We start from the raw sequence: 19,317 nt of genomic DNA on the forward strand, positions 1-19,317 counted from the left end.
TCTGGGAGGTGAGGAGCGTCTCTGCCCGGCCGCCCCGTCTGAGAAGTGAGGAGACACTCCGCCCGGCAGCCTCCCCGTCTGAGAAGTGAGGAGCCCTTCCGCCCGGCAGCCACCCCGTCTGGGAAGTGAGGAGCGTCTCTGCCTGGCAGCCGCCCCGTCCGGGAGGGAGGTGGGGGGGTCAGCCCCCGGCCCGGCCAGCCGCCCCGTCCGGGAGGTGAGGGGCGCCTCTGCCCGGCCGCCCCTACTGGGAAGTGAGGAGGCCCTCTGCCCGGCCACCACCCCGTCTGGGAGGTGTACCCAACAGCTCATTGAGAACGGGCCATGATGACAATGGCGGTTTTGTGGAATAGAAAAGGGGGAAAGGTGGGGAAAAGATTGAGAAATCAGATGGCTGCTGTGTCTGTGTAGAAAGAAGTAGACATGGGAGACTTTTCATTTTGTTCTGTACTAAGAAAAATTCTTCTGCCTTGGGATCCTGTTGATCTATGACCTTACCCCCAACCCTGTGCTCTCTGAAACATGTGCTGTGTCCACTCAGGGTTAAATGGATTAAGGGCGGTGCAAGATGTGCTTTGTTAAACAGATGCTTGAAGGCAGCATGCTCATTAAGAGTCATCACCACTCCCTAATCTCAAGTACCCAGGGACACAAACACTGCTGAAGGCCGCAGGGTCCTCTGCCTAGGAAAACCAGAGACCTTTGTTCACTTGTTTATCTGCTGACCTTCCCTCCACTATTGTCCTATGACCCTGCCAAATCCCCCTCTGCGAGAAACACCCAAGAATGATCAATAAAAATAAATAAATTAATTAAAAAATAAATAAACAAATAATTAAATAGTTGGCCAAAAAAAAAAAAAATACAAAAATGAGCCAGACATGGTGGTGCATGTCTGTTGTAATCCCAGCTACTTGGAATTCTGAGGCATCCTGTGACTTCATTAAAGTCAGTCTTCACTGTTAGATTATTTTGCCCCTTTTAGTCCAATTACACCTTTTTGGAGGAAACAGGTATTATAAGCTTTCATTTAGTATCACTCAAACAATTTATTATGTTTGTGAACAGAACAGAATAAATTTTTTTATTTATAATAGGGTATAATTCGAATATAACTTAATATAAATAACTAATTCTAAACATCTGATTCTAAAACTAAAAAAAATGATAGAATCTTCTACTTTTCAAATGCAGGGATAAATATAACATATTGCATTGACACAGCATATATTAAATTCTTAATAGAATGTGCATATCAATTGATAGCAAAGCTCTATGTGTATCAATATATGAATATTAGACTTTATTTCCTCTACATAATGGTATCACAGTTTTTCTTTAGTACATTTCTATTATGTTTGACAATTTTGGTGGAACTTTATATTCTTAAAGAGTCAGAGATACCATGCAGCTAATAAAGGTTAAGATCTAGGCCCCTCTCTGCTCCCTGGGTGGGACTTTAGTAATAAATTCACAATGAAGTACATCTTTGCCAAAGTTGCAAAAGCAAGATATTTTAACCACAATCAATTAAGCCCACCTTTCTTCCCATTCTGACTACCACCTATCACACTTTAACTGATATCATAGTGCATTATCATGTCTGCAGGCATTTGTAGGGTACAAGCAAAAGGAGATTGAGTTAATGATACTTTACTTGATGTTTAGTGGGTATATTCATATCGTTCAAAAATCGATGACATTTATTATTTAATAATGCTATCTATTCTGGTGCAGAAATGACTACCCAGAGTGCTGTTACCACATAGTATGCAGAGATGTTTCCGGAATTTCATTAATAGGCGTGATGGCTCACATCTGTAATCTCAGCACTTTGGGAGGCCGAGGCAGGTGGATCACCTGAGGTCAAGAGTTTGAGACCAGCCTGTCCAACATGGTGAAATGCCATCTCTACTAAAAGTACAAAAAAATTAGCCAGTTGTGGTGGTGGGTGCCTGTAATCCCAGGTACTCAGGAGGCTGAGGCTGGAGAATCACTTGAACCTGGGAGGCAGAAGTTGCAGTGAGCCAAGATCACTCTCTTGCACTCCAGCCTAGGCAACAAGTGTGAAACTCCATCTCAAAAAAAAAAAATGGTTAAAATAAAATTATTATAGTTATAGATTTTATGATTTTTGACTATTAATTTGAAATTGAAAAAATTAAATATTTTTATTGTAAATAAATGTTTATATTTATGTCTCAAGTTGTAAGTGTATTTTCTTGAAGTAAACTTCCAAATTAGTTTAAGTGTCAAGACACACAAGATGTGTTTAAAATAAATGATTTATATTTATGGCTAAATAAATGATTATATTTGGCTAAAATAAATTATTTATATTTAATAAACATAGTTTGTGATAATTTATTTTATGTACTTTATTTCCTTTTATATAATGATATGGAGATAATAACATCTATAAAGCATACACAAATATTTATTTGCTTGGTGCGGTGGCTTACACCTATAATCCGAGCTACTCAGGAGGCTGAGGTGGGAGGATTGCTTGAGCCCAGGAGTTCCAGGCTGCAGTGAAGTTGTGCCATTGCACTCCAGCTTGAGCAACAGAGTGAGACCCAGTCTGTAAATACATAGATACATATATTTCTAAATGTATTCATAATGCATATTACATAATAGATATTTACACACATATAATTGACATATTGCATATGTATACATAATACATATTAAATGTATTACATCACGAATTAATATCTTATTATTTCTGGAATTATGCAATTATTTTTGGTATTTATAGAGTATAACACTGTGATTTACAAATATTTCTGTAATAAGTACAGCCTCTCCATTTAACAAAATTAACATGCAGTCAGTCAATCAAAGTGGAACTGGTCTAATTAAAAATAATGAAGTGGCTTTTTCCTAATCTCTTGGATTCTCCTCTTATCACATTCACTGTTAACTCAGTGAAAGCCTGGATACTTTTTAATCGGAAAGGTAATTGGATTTCAAGATATTTAGTTAGATAAAATGCAGAATAGAATTATAATTTAACCGAATGCCATCATCAGCCTGCACAACTATCAGGTAGAAACTTTTGGGAGACAACCCCTTGGTCCACATCTACATTCTGGAGCAGCTGGAGCCTGGAGCTAACTGGCAGGTGGTAGCGATTCTAAGATCTGATAATTCATATGTATAGGCTGTTCCACATTGTCCAGGGAATGAGGACAGAAGGGGAGTACAATACAGGAGAGCTAGTGAGCCACTTACAACCTTCTTCCCAGATGAAGCCATCTTCTGTTTCTCCGTAGAGCCTCACTCTTCCTTTCTGGCCTCTTCCTGTCTTACAAGCAATAACTAGAAAGAAACTCCTTTTGGAAACTTTATTTTGAATTTCCAAAATCTCAGGGCCTGCTATCATAGGGTTTATTGTAGAATAGGAGGTACACTGGATTGATCAAAGGAATTCAGATTTCCAGCACCAATCTTACCACTTCGAAGTGTTTAAATTTTGCTAAGAATTCTTCTAGTGTTTGTTAGCTTTTCTTCATTTCCAACGTTAGTTATTACCTTCCTCTGAAGACTTCTGGATTCTTTTACCTTTATTTTTGTGTGGAAAAATATATCTGATCTCTTCAGAACATTTTTTGTTTATTTGTAGGAATTTAAGGGGTCCTAGTACAGTTTTGTTGTGTAGATATATTGCATAGTGGTGAAGTCTGAGCTTTAATTGTATTCATAATGTACTCCAGTTCTATTCATGTTGTTGCAAATAATAGGATTTTTATCTTTTTGATGGTGAAATAATATAAAGAGGAATAAAAGCTCATGGCAAAATTGAATTAAAGGATAACAATAAAATGTAAACTTTTTTTTAACGTGAGTGCCATCAAGTTCAAGACACTTTTTGTAAGTGATGACACCAGTCAAAATTAGTTCATGTCTGACGGACTGTGTGTTTCGGAAATTTACCCATGTCAATACATTCTTTTTTACATTATTAATTGAAACAAAATGGGTTTCCATTGTAGAATTTTGAAGACTAGCAAACAAAAAAAAAGAGTCGTAAGGAGCCAAATCAGACAGTAGGATGGAGGCCTAATGGTTTTCCATCAAAACTATCACAAAATTGCCCTTGTTTGATGAGAGTAATGAGTAGGAGCCTTGTCTTGGTGGAGAACGACTTTCTGGTAAAGCTCTCCTGTGTATTTGACTGCTAAAACTTTGGCTAACTCTCTGTCAATACATAGTTATAATAAGCAGATACTATCTTCTTTGTCCCTCTGGAAAACCAACAAGCAAAATTCTTGAGTGTCTCAAAAAAACCATTGCCATGATGTTTTCTCTTGACCTGTCTGCTTTTGCTTTGTCTGAACCACTTCCCCCTATTGGCAGTCATTGGATTGATTGTGCTGTATCTTCAGGGCCATACTGCTAAAACCATGTTTTACCTCCTGTTGTAATTTTTATCTCATGTACTTCATCTTCAGGGCCATACTGGTAAAACCATGTTGTATCTCCTGTTACAATTCTTTGAAGAAATCCTTCAGGATCTCAATCCCACCTGTTCAAAATTTCCTTTTTTTTTTTTTTCCCAAGAAAGAGAAAGGCAACTCCAGCCTGTGTCGCCCAGGCTGGAGTGCAATGGTGCGATCTCCGCTCACTGCAACTTCCGCCTCCTGAATTCAAGCAATTCTCCTGCCTCAGCCTCCTGAGTAGCTGGGATTACAAGCGCATACCACCAAGCCTGGCTAATTTTTGTGTTTTTAGTAGAGAAGGGGTTTCACCATATTGGACAGGCTGGTCTTGAACTCCCGACCTCATGATCTGCCCACCTCAGCTTCCCAAAGTGCTGAGATTGCAGGAGTGAGCCACTGCACCCAGCCCTCAAAATTTCTATTGAGAGCTCTGCTCTTGTCTGCAACTCATCTGGGTGCAATGGTTTTTAATGGTAAAGAGTTAGCTCAACTTTAATTTTTTACACAGAAATTATGAAAGCTGACCCAATTGAGATGTCAATGTTATTGGCTACTGTTTCTGCTGTTAATTGCTAGTCCTTTTCAAGTAGGGTATGAACAGGATGAATTTTTTTCCTTGTGAATTAATGCACATGGTTTGTCTCTGAGAGCTTCAGCTCTTCTTTTATCATCATCTTATCCCTGATTACAATGATTGATACATTTGTAGGCACGGTGCAGTGGTTCACGCCTGTAATCCCAACACTTTGGGAGGCCGAGGCAGGCAGATCATGAGGTCAGGAGATCGAGACCATCCTGGCCAACATGGTGAAATCCTGTCTCTACTAAAAATAAAAATTAGATGGGCATGGTGGCAGGCACCTGTAATCCCAGCTACTCAGGAGGCTGAGGCAGGAAAATTGCTTGAACCAGGGAGGCAGAGGTTGCAGTGAGCCGAAGTCGTGCCACTGCACTCCAGCCTGGGCAACAGAGTGAGACTCCGTATCAAAAAAACAAAAAAACAAAAAACTGCTGATTTCTCTGGAGGGCATTGTCCTCACAAAATTTTTGTAAAGCATCGGTAATTCCACCATTCTTCCACTCACATTTGACAAAATTTATTGCTTTAGCAGAATTCATGTTGCTCTGACAGGGGCTCTTTTCAAAGTAATGGCTTATCCTTCTTAGTGTATCAGACTAGGTCTTGTTTAGACATCTCATATTTCCATGAACTTTACGAAGACCCTCCGTATTCCATTGTATGTATATACCACCTGTTTTTGTTGTCCTTTCATGAATTGATGGATATTTAGCTTGAAGTTCCACCTTTAGAATTACCATATTTTTATTTTTTTTAATTTTCACTTGTTTTCTTACAGTGTTAATTTTGCTAAATGATTCAATACATTAAACATATTTATAACAGTTATTTTAGAGTCCTTACCTGCTAATTCTATCATTATGTCTTTTCTGTTTTATTTTAATTATCTCATGGATAGGCTCACCCATTGCTCTTTTCCCATATGTCTAGTATTTATGACTAGATGCTGAAGATTGTGAATTTTATGTTAATGGATGCCATAAGTTTATTTGTTTGCTGGTTTGTTTCTCTAAAATAATGTTAAATGTTTAAGACAAGTATCAGTTGGCTCCTTTTGTGACTTGTTTGAAGGTGTATGATTAGAGTTTAATGCAGACTTTACCTCTGAGGTTTCTATCAAATGCCCATTTATTGAACAAGGACTCACTCTACATTGACTTAACTCGAATGTCTTCCTGCCCTGTGCAGTCTCTGGGAATTTTTCAGCTTATATTCCCTGATCATTATTTTAATATACTTGAGTATGTTCCTTATAACCACCCACAATTTAATGTTCAGCCACAAAAACAAGATGAACTTGTAATTGAGGGAAGGATGAACAACACACGTTAATAGATATGACATATAGGAAACAAATAGCAATATGCCAGAAAGAAGTACTCTATTATTCACAGTTATTTTAAATGTACACAAATTAAGCTCTCCAATTAAAAGGCAGAGATAGTAGAATGAATTAAAACAATGATGTGATTCAACTATATATGGTATGGAATAGATTTACTTTGTTTATACTGTTGTTTTATGTCTGGAAAATTAAAAAAAAATAATTGGAAAAATGTATATTCAATAAAGAAAAAAATGTTATTAACACACCCATAGTGTACTGATGTAGCTTTTTAAAAGTATTTTGAAGAGGAGAAATATGAGGTTCTATAGAATCACTGAAGAAAACGCTGAATCAGCAGCAAAATATGCTGATAAAGAGATGACACATAATTGAGATATAAAATATGATGTTTCACTTGGCTGAATATAAGGAAAACAACCTATTGGAGAAAAGGATGAACAAACATTAATATATATGACATAAAGAAAACAGGTAGCGTGGTGGCGGGTGCCTGTAGTCCCAGCTACTCAGGAGGCTGAGGCAGGAGAATGGTATGAACCCGGGAGGCGGAGCTTGGAGTGAGCCGAGATCTCGCCACTGCACTCCAGCCTGCGCGACAGAGCAAGACTCCATCTCAAAAAAAACAAAACAAACAAGAAAAAACAGGTAGCAATATACCAGTAATAAGTCCTCTATCGTCCACAATTTCTTTAATTTTACATGAATTAAACTCAGTAATTATAATTAAAAAGTACGGATAGTAGAATGAATGTAAACAACAACGATGTGATCCAGCTATATGCTGTTGGATGACAGAGTATTGTGAGATGTGTTGTAATCAGTTTTTGCTCTCAAGCCCAAATTAATACAATTATTTATACATGAAAATATTATCAAGTGGAGAAGATGATTGGCAGGAGACAGGGCTAACGTGTAGCTCACACTTAGACGGACAGAACAGCATGTGGAGAATCATACCACGATTTTTTGCTCTTAGAACTACTGCGGAAACATATCAGGAAAACCAAAAGAATACATAGTGCTACAGTCATGCCCATGCACCACAACGTAGTAGTCTGTTGATGTGAGGTATCACCTGAAGTTCTCTGTCTCAGGACCAAGAGAATTAAGGAGCATGGACACAAAAAGTGAGGTTGGAGTCAAAGTTTAATAAGCAAAAGAAGAAAGTTCTCCACTGTGGAGAGGAGACCTGGAAGATGGTTGCACTGATGAGGGCTGGGGTGTTTCATTTGCACAAGGCACAAATTTCTGGTAGCTTCATCCTGTCCTCCTAGTGCACATGTGGGCCCTTAGCTTGAGTTACTCCATATTGCTTTGTTCCCCTTACTATGCATGTGTCAGGGGATGGAATTTTCCATTGCAGGCATGTATGGGAAAGTCACCTGTGTAGTCTTTCTTATCTGTACTGCTATGGGGATGTCTTAGGCAAGCCCCCTTGTGCAAGTTCTCTTATCTGTGCCTGCAGGCTGTTCTTTTGTTTGAAAGGAGTCAACTGAGGACCCGCCCTAACTACCTGCCTGACTGAGTTTTTTCCTTTCTCCTCCCTCAATAGGCCCTTTGAAAAAACAGCACACTACTGCAAATTCCATGAGACAAGCAAAAAACTGAGTTCCCAAAGTGTGAGAGGGGGAAACCCTGACTCTAAACACACATTATCACTGGAAAATCTGAAAACCCAGATCACGGGAGAAGGATTTAATCTTACCTAGAACTAAAATGGATTTACGAAGTTGTACAAAAATATAAAAGTAGAAGCAGCAGTGGATGGTGCTTTGCAGGCATTCCCAGTCTCCAGCTTGAACCCAAGTAAGCTATCCCTGACTGTATCTCACAGGGTCCATCAGAGAAGGCAGCCAGAAGAACTGGGGAGTGGTCACAGGGTGAAGAAAGCTTCCAGCTGCAATTGGTAGTGGTTTTGACTGGGCAGCAATTTACTCGAGCAGAGTCCAGAGGATGAGCAGGAGCTGCTGCAGATATGAGTGTAGGAGGTCAGGAGTTGCTGATGGAGTGGGTAGATAGGGAGGGATGAGGTCCAAAGCCATGCTTGCTTTCTCAGCTGGGTAGATCACAGCCTGGAGCAAGGTCTGAGCTGGGGGACACTGCAAGAGTAGGACCAGTGTTTCCAACTGCGTGAAAGCTGTGTGGGACCTCTGGCAACAGGCTATCCCCCACTTCCTGAGTGAATTATATGGCATAGCAAAGGTGGCCAAGATCCCCATTGGCCTGAGAACTGATTGGACTCCGGTGAAGACTCCAAGATGGCGATGGGTAACCATCTTGGCTACCCTGACTCAGCACTCCCGGATTCGCCAGTTCCCGCCATCCCAGTGGCCATCTTGGCCACCCTGACTTGGCATTTTCGCTTATTCCCGCCATTTATTCCTGCCCTCCCGACAGCCACCTCAGGTACCCTGACTCAGCATTTCCGGGTTCACCCTTCCTGTTCCTGCCACCTGGACCAACGCGCATGCCCACTAGGGCATGCCACACTCAGAAGTGGGAAACTCAACCGACCCCGCCCCTATCCTGCCCACTCCCCACCCAGCATCCATATAAGTGCGCTGCACCTCTGGCACAGCACGACTTCCCTGGCCCTCCCCCTGCAGACCAGTGAACCTCGCCCGAGAACTCACTAAAGAAGATTTTTGCCCTCTTTGTCTCGCCTCTTGGCCTTATTGATCCACGGTGCCCCTCCATTGCCTTTCAAGAACCATTCCCCCATTACCTACAGTGGCTGCAGCAAGCCCAACGCAAGGATAGTCTAAGCCCAGACTTGCCTAACCTTGTCCCCAGATAATGGTATTTCTCTACCCACCCTGGTAGCTGAACACAAAACATTGAAACTCTTGAGAGCTTTATGGCCCCTCCTACTACCTAAGAAACCAAAATACTTACCCTGGCCAACTTAGGGCAAGCTTAGTTCCCCCTACAACTACTGTAGCTGGTGCTCTCTTGAAAGCACCACCTCCTGGCTGGAGGCCAACTGTGATGATTAATATTGTCAATTTGATTGGATTGAGAGATGCAAATTATTGTTCCTGAGTGTGTCTGTGAGGGTGTTGCCAAAGGAAATTAACATTTGAGTCAGTGGACTGGGAGAGACAGACCATCCCTCAATCTGGGCGGGCACCATCTAATCAGCTGCCAGTGTGGCTAAATAAAGCAGGCATACGAAATTGGAAAGAGGAGATTTGCTGAGTCTTCTGGCCTTCATCTTTCTCTCGTCCTGGATGCTTCCTGCCCTTGAACATCATTTTCCAGATTCTTCAGCTTTTGGTCTCTTGAACCTACACCAGTGGTTTGCCAGGGGTGCTCAAGACTTTGGCCACAGACTGAAGGCTGCACTGTTGGCTTCCCTATTATTGAGGTTTTGGAATTCAGACTGGCTTCCTTGCTCCTCAGCTTGCAGACAGCCTGTTGTGGGACTTCACCTTGTAATTGTGTGAGTCAATACCCATTAATAAACTCCCCTTCATACATACAACCATCTTATTAGTTCTGTCCCTCTAGAGAATCCTAATACAACAAGCAACTCATGACAGAATAACCTCAATCTCAGGGAAAAGAAGACAACACCTAATTCCATTGCATGCAAATTCCTGGTTAACCAGAGGTCCTGAGTCTGTCCATGTGACAATTTTACTGCTAGCATAACCGGCATTTGAGAAAGCCAGCACACTAAAGAGATCTACAACAAAGAACTCTTACAGAGTCTACTTCACTCCCTGCCAACCCCAAGAAAGCAGGTGTTGGTATCCGCAGCTGGGAGACTTGAAGATGGATTGCATCACAGTACTCTTTGCAGACATTCCCTAGCACCAGCCCAGAGCCTGGTTGTCCCCTGGGTGGCTGGACCCAGAAGAGCAACAACAACCCCTGCAGTAAGCCTCACAGGAGCTCCATCCCTAGGAGAAGGGGGGAGTGCACCATATCAGGGAGACCACCTTGTGGGATGAAAGAATCTGAACATCAGACCTCGATTTCCTGACCTTTCCACTGAAACAGTCTACCCAAATGAGAAAAAAAAGGGGGAGAAGTAATTTTGGTAATACGACAAAAAATCGTTCTATAACTCCCCCAAAAGTTCACACCAGCTTCCAAACAATAGCCAAAACAAGAAGAAATATTTGAATTGCTTGATAAAGAACTCTGAAGTTTGATTATTAAGCTACTCAAGGAGATACCAGAGAAAGTTAAAACCAACTTAAAGACATTTTTTAAAAAAAATACAGCATATGGATGAAAAATTCTGAAGAGAAATAGACATCATAAAGAAAAAAACAATCAAAACTTCTAGAAATGGAAGACACACTTAGAAAAATACAAAACATAGTGGAAAGTTTAAACAATAGACTAGAACAACCAGAAGAAAGAACTTCAGAGATAGAAGACAAGGTTTTCAAATTAATGCAATTGGATAAAGACAAAAAAGAATAAAAAATAAACAAAGCCTCCAAGAAACTTGGGATTATGTTTAAATGGCCAAACCAAAGAATAACTAGTGTCTGTGAAGAAGAAGAGAAATACAAACATTTGGAACAGTTATTTGGGGAAACAATTGATGAAAATACCCCTGGCTTTGCTAGAGGTCTAGACATTCAAATACAAGAAGCTCAAGGAACACCTGGGAAATTCATGACAAAAAGATCATCGCCTAGGCACATAGTTATCAGATTATATAAAGTCAGGATGAATGAAAGAATCTTAAAAGCTGTGAGGCAAAAGTATCAGCTAACCTGTAAAGGAAAGCCTATCAGATTAATGACAAATTTTTCAGCAGAAACCCAACAAGCCAGAAGGGACTGGGGTCCTATATTTAGCCTCTTTAAATGAAATAATTATCAACCAAGAATTTTGTATCTAGCAAAACTAAGCTTCATAAATGAAGGAGAGATAAAGATTTTTCAGACAAAGAAATCCTGAGAGAATTTGCCACTAATAAGCTAGTACTATAAGAAATGTTAAAAGGAGTTCTGATTCTTGAAACAAACCTCAAAGTATACCAAAATAAAACCTACTTAAAGCGTAAATCTCAAAAGGCCTATAAAATAATAACACAATGGAAAAAACAGGGTATTTTGGCAACAACTAGCATGATAAATAGAGCATTACTTCACATCTCAATACTAACATTGAATGTAAATGGCATAAATATTCCACTTAAAAGGTACAGAATGGTAGAATGAAAAAAATCCACCAATCGAGTGTCTACTGTCTCAAGAGACTCACCTAACACATAAGGACTCACATAAACATAAGGTAAAGGGGTGGAAAAAGATATTCCACCAAAATGGAAACCAAAAGTGAACAGAAGTAGCTATCCTTATATCAAATAAAACAGATTTTAAAGCAACAACACTTCAAAAAGACAATGAGAGATATTATATAATGATAAAAGGATTAGTCCAACAGGAAAATGTAACAATCCTAAATATATATGCACCTAACACTGGAGCTCACAAATTTATAATATAAAAATCACTAGATCTAAGAAATGAAATAGACAGTGTCTATCTTTAAATGAGATTATGGTCTGTCTCATTTCTTAGGTCTAGTAATTTTTGTTTTATTAAATAATAGTGGGAGACTTCAACACCCCATTGACAGCACTAGACAGGTTATCAAGACAGAAAGTCAACAAAGAAACAATGGGCTTAAACTATACCCTAGAACAAATGGACTTAATGATATTTACAGGACATTCTACCCAACAACTGCAAAATATACACTCTTTTCTTTAGCACATGGAACATTCTCCAAGACAACAGACCATATGATAGGTCACAAAACAAGTCTTAATAAATTTAAGAAAATATGGTTTGGCACAGTGGCTCACACCTGTAATCCCAGCACCTTGGGAGGCAAAGGCAGATGGATCGCTTGAGGTCAGGAGTTCAAGACTAGCCTGGTGAACATGGTGAAACTCCATCTCTACTAAAAATACAAAAAATTAGCTGAGAGTAGTTGTGTGTGCCCGTAATCCCTGATACTTGGGAAGCTGAGGCAGGTGAATCACTTGAACCCTGGAGGCAGAGAATTGCAGTGAGCTGAGATCATGCCCTTGGCACCCCGCCTGGGCAAAAGAGCAAGACTCTGTCTCACAAATTTGAATTAATTAATTAAAAAATAAATTTAAGAAAATCAAATTTATATCAAGTATCCTCTGAGAACATATTGGAATAAAATTAACTTCAAAAAGAAACCTTAAAACTATACAAATATATGGAAATTAAATAATCTGTTCTAGAATGATCTGTGGGTCAACAATGAAATCAAGGTTAAAATTTAAAAATTATTTGAGCTGAATGATAATAGTGACACAACTTATCAAAACCTCTGAGATACAGCAAAAATGGTGCTAAGAGGAAAGTTCATAGCATCAAATACCTGCACCAAAAAGTCTGAAAGAGCACAAATAGACAATCCAAGGTCACATTTTAGAGAATAGAGAAAAAAGAACAAACGAAACCCAACCCCAGCCAAAGAAAACATCACTCACTGATGATATGATTATGTACCTAGAAAACCCTGAAGACTCATTCAAAAAGTTCCTAGATCTCATAAGTGAATTTAGTAAAGTTTCAGGATACACACATCAATGTACACAAATCAGTAGCACTGCTGTACACCAACAATGACCAAGCTGAGAAACAAATAAGAACTCAATTTCTTTTATAATATTTGCAAAAAATAAAATAAAATACTTAGGAATATACATATCCAAGGAGGTGAAAGAGCTCTACAAGCAAAACTACAAAACACTGCTGAAAGAAGTCAATGACAACACCAACAAATGAAAACATCCCATGCTCATGGATGGGTAGAATCAATATTGTAAAAATGACCATACTGCCAAAAGCAATCTACAGTTTCCATGCAATTCTCATTAAACTGCCATCATCATTCTTCACAGAACTAGAAAAAACAATCTTAAAATTCATATGGAACAAAAAAAGAGCCTGCATAGCTGAAGCAAGACTATGCAAAAATAACAAATCTGGAGGCATCATATTACCAGACTTTATGCTATAAGGCTATGGTTACCAAAGCAGTATGGTATTAGTATAAAAATGGGCACATAGAACAATGGAACAGAATAGAGAACCCAGAAATAAAGCCAAAGACAGCCAACTGATCTTTGACAAAGCAAACATAAACATAAAGTAGGGAAAGGGCAACCTATTACAAATGCTGCTGGGATAATTGGCAAGCTACATGTAGAAGAATAAAATTGGATCCTTATCTCTCACCTTATGCACAAATCAACTCAAGATGGATCAAAGACTTAAATCTAAACATGAAACCATAAGTTTCCTAGAAGATAACATTGGAAGAACTCTTATAGACATTGGTTTAGGAAAAAAGTTCATGAAAAATAACCCAAAAGCAAAAGCAACAAAAACAAAAATAAATAAATGGGACCTAATTAAACTAAATAGCTTCTGCATAGCAAGGTAAATAATCAGTAGAGTAAGCAGACAACCCAAAGAATGGAAAAAAATATTTGCAAACTATGCATTTAACTGTCATGGTTTGCCACTCTTACTACGGTTACCATGGGACTGAATGAAGGACGAACACAGAAATGAAAACTTAGAACATGAGAAACTATTTTAAAGAGAGGGTCCGGGGAAGAAGAAGAGGGCTCCTTGCTTCTAGTCTGCAAAGGTAGCCCTGAGATTCTACAGCCCTTCGTATTTATTGGGTAGAAACAGCAAGGAGGAGGAGGTAACGATTGGTCAGCTGCTTAATTGATCACAGGTTCACATTATTGCTAACAGGCTTCCGATGTGCCTAATCACAAGAAACACTGTGCCTAGGGCATGACTACCCTCAGCATTCCTTCTGGGCATCAGACATAGTTTGTCATTTTGCCAACATTCTGCATTTACGAGAATAGTTTGCTGTTTACTCATATAGCCTCCAGTGGTATACTGAGTTGATCACAACCCTCACTCTTTCGGACTACAACATTCAACAATGGACTAATATCCAGAATCTACAAGTAAATCAAGCAAATCAGCAAGAAGTGAACAAATAATCCCATCAAAAAGTGGACAAAGGTCATGAATAGACAACTCCAAAAGAAGATATACTTATGACCAAAAAAATATTTAAAAATGCTCAACATCACTAAGTATCTGGAAAATGCAAATCAAACCACAATGAGATTACCTTACTCCTGCAAGAATGACCATAATTTAAAAATAAAAAAAAAGTGTTGGCATGAATGTGGTGAAAAGGGAACACTTTCACACTGCTGGTAGGAGTGTAAACTGGTACAACCACTTTGGAAAACAGTATGGAGATTTTTTAAATAAGTAAAAGTAGAACTTTCACTTGATCCAGCAATCCCACTCCTGGGTATCTACCCAGTGGAAAAGAAGTCATTATGTGAAAAAGACACTTGCACATCCATGTTTAGAGCAGGGAAATTAGCAATTGCAGTAGTATGTAACCAGCCTAAATGTCCATCAACCAACTAGTGGATAAAGAAAATGTGAGATCTATATATATATATATACACACACACACACACACACATATATATCTCATGAAATCCGAAAATCTGATTACTCATTGAAAATCTGATATATATAAAGAAAATGTGATATATATATGACAAAAAGTGGACTCATATAACCAGAATATGATATACATATCACATTTTCTTTATATATACCATATATATATCAAATGATATATATAGATATCACGTTTTCTTTATCTATATATATGTGTGTGTGTGTGTATATATATATATATGTATATATATATATGATGGAATACTACTCACTTATAAAAAGGAACAAAATAATGGCATTCACAGCAACCTGGATGGAGCTGGAGACCTTTATTCTAAGTGAAGTAACTCAGGAATGGAAAACCAAATATCATATGTTCTCACTTATAAGTGGGAGCTAAACTATGAGGATACAAATAGGTAAGAATGACATAATGTATTTTGGGGACACAGGGAAAAGTGTGCAGTGTGGGCGAGGGATAAAAGGCTACACATTGAGTACAGTGTACACTGCTCAGGTGATGAGTGCACCAAAACCTCAGAAATTACCCCAATGAACTTATTCACATAACCAGAAACCTCCTACTTCCCAAAAATTATTGAAATAAAAAACAATTAAAAAAATTTGAAAATTGGAAAATTTATATACACATGAAAAATTATCAAGTGACATTAATCTATATTATATATTTATTATAACAATATTACAAATTGATTATTAAACACAAAGTTGACATCAATTCTCAAAGAGCTTATAGAAGGCATTTTTCACCTCTTCGTTTCTTAAGCTGTAAATCAAAGGGTTAAGCATGGGGATTACTAAAGTGTAAAACACAGAAGCCATTTTATCAGTATCAAAGAAGTGAGTGGAATTGGGCTGCATGTACATGAAGAGTAGAGACCCATAGAACACAACCACCACTGTCAAATGGGAACCACATGTGGAGAAAGCCTTTTTCCTGCCCTCTGCAGAATGCATTTGACATATAGCTAACAAAATCAACATGTAGGACACTAAGACTATCAGAAAGGAGGAGATCAAATTAAATACAGAAAATAGTATGCTCAACAATTCTATTTCCTGTGCATTTGAGCAAAGCATAGGTAGCAAAGGAACATCATCACAGTAAAAATGACTGATGACATTAGAGCCACAGAAGGTCAATGTAAAAATCTTAATAGTGAACATCAGAGCCTGAAATGTGCTGTAGAGATATTGAATGCCCACCAGTACATGACACAGTCGCTGAGACATAATAACATAATAGAGCAGAGGGTTACAAATGGCCACATAGCGGTCATAGGCCATGGCTGACAGGATGAAAAATTCACTGATAATGAACATAAGGAAGAATGCCAGCTGTGCAGCACATGCATAATAGGAAATAGTATTTCGATCCACAACAAAATTTGCCAGCACCTTGGGACAAATGACAGTAGAATTACCAAGATCAACAAAAGCCAAATGTCTGATAGAAAAGTACATAGGTGTATGTAAGTGGGAGTCCAGTTTGGTCAAAATGATCATAGTTAGGTTGCCCACCACTGTGATTAGGTAGATGACGAGGAAGACTCCAAAAAGGGGAATCTGCAGCTCAGGCCGCCTTGTGAGTTCCATCAGAATGAATTCAGTTAGCACTGTTAGATTGTGTTGGCCCATTTAGTCCAGTTATCTCTTCTAGGAAGAAACAGTTGGGTTATTAGCTGTTCCATGTAGTGCTATTTAAACAAATTATAATATTTGTAGACAGAATAGATTGTTATTCACAATAGATAATAGAAACATTATTTCTACATTTGATTCAGAAATGAAATATAAAGCAAAATTTTCTACTTTCCTAAAAGAGGAATTCATGTAAAATACATGCACTGAAACAACATAGATTAAATAGTTTCATCAATATTTGAAGTATATCGGTTAATAACACAGCCATATAGGTATTATTACAAAAAGATTATGCTCTTTTCATCTGCACAATGGTATCATGATTTTCTTTTGTTCACTTCCACTTTTGTTGTAAAACTTTTCTGTAATTTTGATATTCTCAAAGACAGAGGTAGAGATGGCAATAAGATAATGAAGGTTAAGATTTGGGGTCCCTCATTTGCACTTCCAGGGTCTTGTGTGGGGACTTACGAATGCACGCAAAAATGATATATCTTTGTAAAATTTCAAATGTAAGATATAATAATCATGATCAATTAAGGCTGCTTTCTGTTTTCATTCCAACTTCTAGTATATCACACTTCAACTAATATCATAGTGACTTGACATTTCTGCAAGCATTGTGGGATCTAGCTAAAGAAGGATTGAGTTAATAATAGTTTATTTGATGTTCAATGGATATGTTTATATCATTCAGACACTATGATATTTATCACTGAATAATACTACCTATTCTGACTTAAGAATGTCTTCTAAGGATACTCTTGCCACCTGTATGCTGAGATGCATTTGGCATTTGATTAATTAACATACTATATTAATAAATTTTATATAGTTTGTGGCCATGGGTTTGTTTACTAATTACAATTTAAAGCTAATTTTCTATTCTAAATAAATATTCCCATTTATCTTTCAACTTGTATGTGTAATTTTATCTAAAAAGTCAAATTCTTCTAAGCTTCAAGACACATAATCTGGATCCACTTCTGCAAAAACATGATTTAAATCAATATTCAGTGATGACTATTTAATTATATGTACTTTATTTTCTGTAATAAAACACTGTGAAGATGGTAGGTTCTATAAATCATTTAAATAATTTGAGAATTTAGGACATCATATATTAGTGAATGACTTTTTTTCTGGAATTGTACAGTGGAGTATTCATGGAGATATAATACTGTAATTAAAACTATTTCAATGAAAAGTACTTCTCCCTTTATTTAAAAAATACACGGGAAGTCAATAAAAGAAAGTGGAACGTCCCTGATACAGATAGTGAAGATGTCTTAGCCTATTCCACTTAAATTCCCCTCTCCTTCAGTTTCCACTCATTGAAAATCTGGAACTCTGTGAGAGTGACTTTCAATTGGAATAGTAACGGAATTTTCCACAGATCTAATGTAGAATAGATTTATTATAATGTAATGGAATGTCAGCTTTAGCCTGCACATCCCTCAGGTAGAAAACTCTGAAAACCCACCTAAAGATCCAAAACTACAGTTTGGAGCAGGTGCAGTCCACAGCCACACTGTGGCATTTGGCAACACTTCTAGGTATCTGCTCATTAGTGGGAGACATTTTGCCAACTTCATCTATGGACTACAGATGTGGGAAGGGGGCAACAGTGGAGGTTAGTGACCCTCTTCCATTCCTTCTCCCTAAATGAAGCTGTCTGCTGTTTCTCCATTGAACTTCACCCCTCTTTTAGGTCTTTCTTTTCCCACAGATAAGAACCATGACTATTCTATTTCTAAAACTTTATCTTAAATTTGCAGTATTGCAGGAATTGCTCACATAGGGTTTTATGGTAGAATAGAAGATGCACTGAATTGCAAAGGAAATTCAGAATTCCAACATCAATCCCACCAATCTGAAGTCAATACTTTGCTTAAAATGGTTTTAGTTTTTATTCAGTCTATTTCCATTGTCACTGTCAATTATTATCTCCCTCTGAAGATTTCTCAATTTTGTATCCTACCTGTTTTTCTTATGGAAAAAAGTATATTTCTAACGTATTTGAATAATTATGCATACATTTTAAATACCCTTGTTTAGGGATAACCAATAGAAAAGACAGGATAAAAAAGTATGCAAAGGAATTATTTTTCAGTCTTTAGCCTTCATGAAATCTTTTAGGAATTAATGATAGTTCAGGGATTTATTGGTAACTCTATAACTTTAAAAATTATTTCTATTTATTTTACAGTCTACTTAATCAGTTTGTAATGCCTATTGTTTAAAGGAAAACAATAGTAGTAACTCAGTAAAAATAAACCAAAAATATGCAAGTTTATATATGTAATATCACTATCTAGAAATTATTTGAAGCTTGTAAAATGTTGTATAGAAAAACATGGACACAGGGAGGGGACACAGGAAGGGGAACACAGGGAGGGGAACACCGGGGCCTCTCAGCGGGTGGGGGCTAGGGGAGGGATAACATCAGGAGAAAAACCTAATGTAGGTGACGGGTTGATGGGTGCAGCAAACCACCATGGCACATGTATACCTATGTAACAAACCTGCACATTCTGCACAGGTACCCTAGAACTTAAAGTATAATTAAAAAAAGCAAGAAAAAAAGAAAATACATATTTTAAAACACTATTTTTGAAATATTTTATTACATGTGTTCATAGTACTTCCTGATTATATGAAAAATGGAGATGGAAATCTTGCATTGTATCTGGGAATCTTAACCTTTCTAGATTCTAATAGATGAGATCATTGGCCAGGAACAGTGGCTCACGCCTG

At 37.9% G+C, this 19,317-nt stretch overlaps 1 protein-coding gene across 1 annotated transcript, besides 1 other annotated feature; it reads right to left on the reverse strand.

Moving 5' to 3' along the window:
- Positions 8,526 to 9,725: an enhancer, noted in NCBI's record as "MED14-independent group 3 enhancer chr11:55919765-55920964 (GRCh37/hg19 assembly coordinates)". NCBI's record gives its function as "activates an origin of replication core promoter dependent on BRD2, BRD4, P300/CBP and CDK7 cofactors, and independent of MED14, by STARR-seq in HCT116 cells {active_cell/tissue: HCT116}" and the evidence as "EXISTENCE:reporter gene assay evidence [ECO:0000049][PMID:35650434]".
- OR8K5 (olfactory receptor family 8 subfamily K member 5) lies at positions 15,631 to 16,554 on the reverse strand. The gene has a single exon (NM_001004058.2). The coding sequence runs from the start codon at positions 16,552 to 16,554 to the stop codon at positions 15,631 to 15,633; it is 924 nt and encodes a 307-aa protein (NP_001004058.2).
- Between the last annotated feature and the right edge of the window lie 2,763 nt (positions 16,555 to 19,317).

Source organism: Homo sapiens, chromosome 11 (genome assembly GCF_000001405.40).
Source record: "Homo sapiens chromosome 11, GRCh38.p14 Primary Assembly".
In the NCBI taxonomy this organism is placed as follows: Eukaryota; Metazoa; Chordata; class Mammalia; order Primates; family Hominidae; genus Homo; species Homo sapiens.

Bases quoted from the DNA above. Each gene is read 5' to 3' on its own strand.
- OR8K5 (NM_001004058.2), bottom strand. From the start codon at position 16,554: ATGGGCCAACACAATCTAACAGTGCTAACTGAATTCATTCTGATGGAA.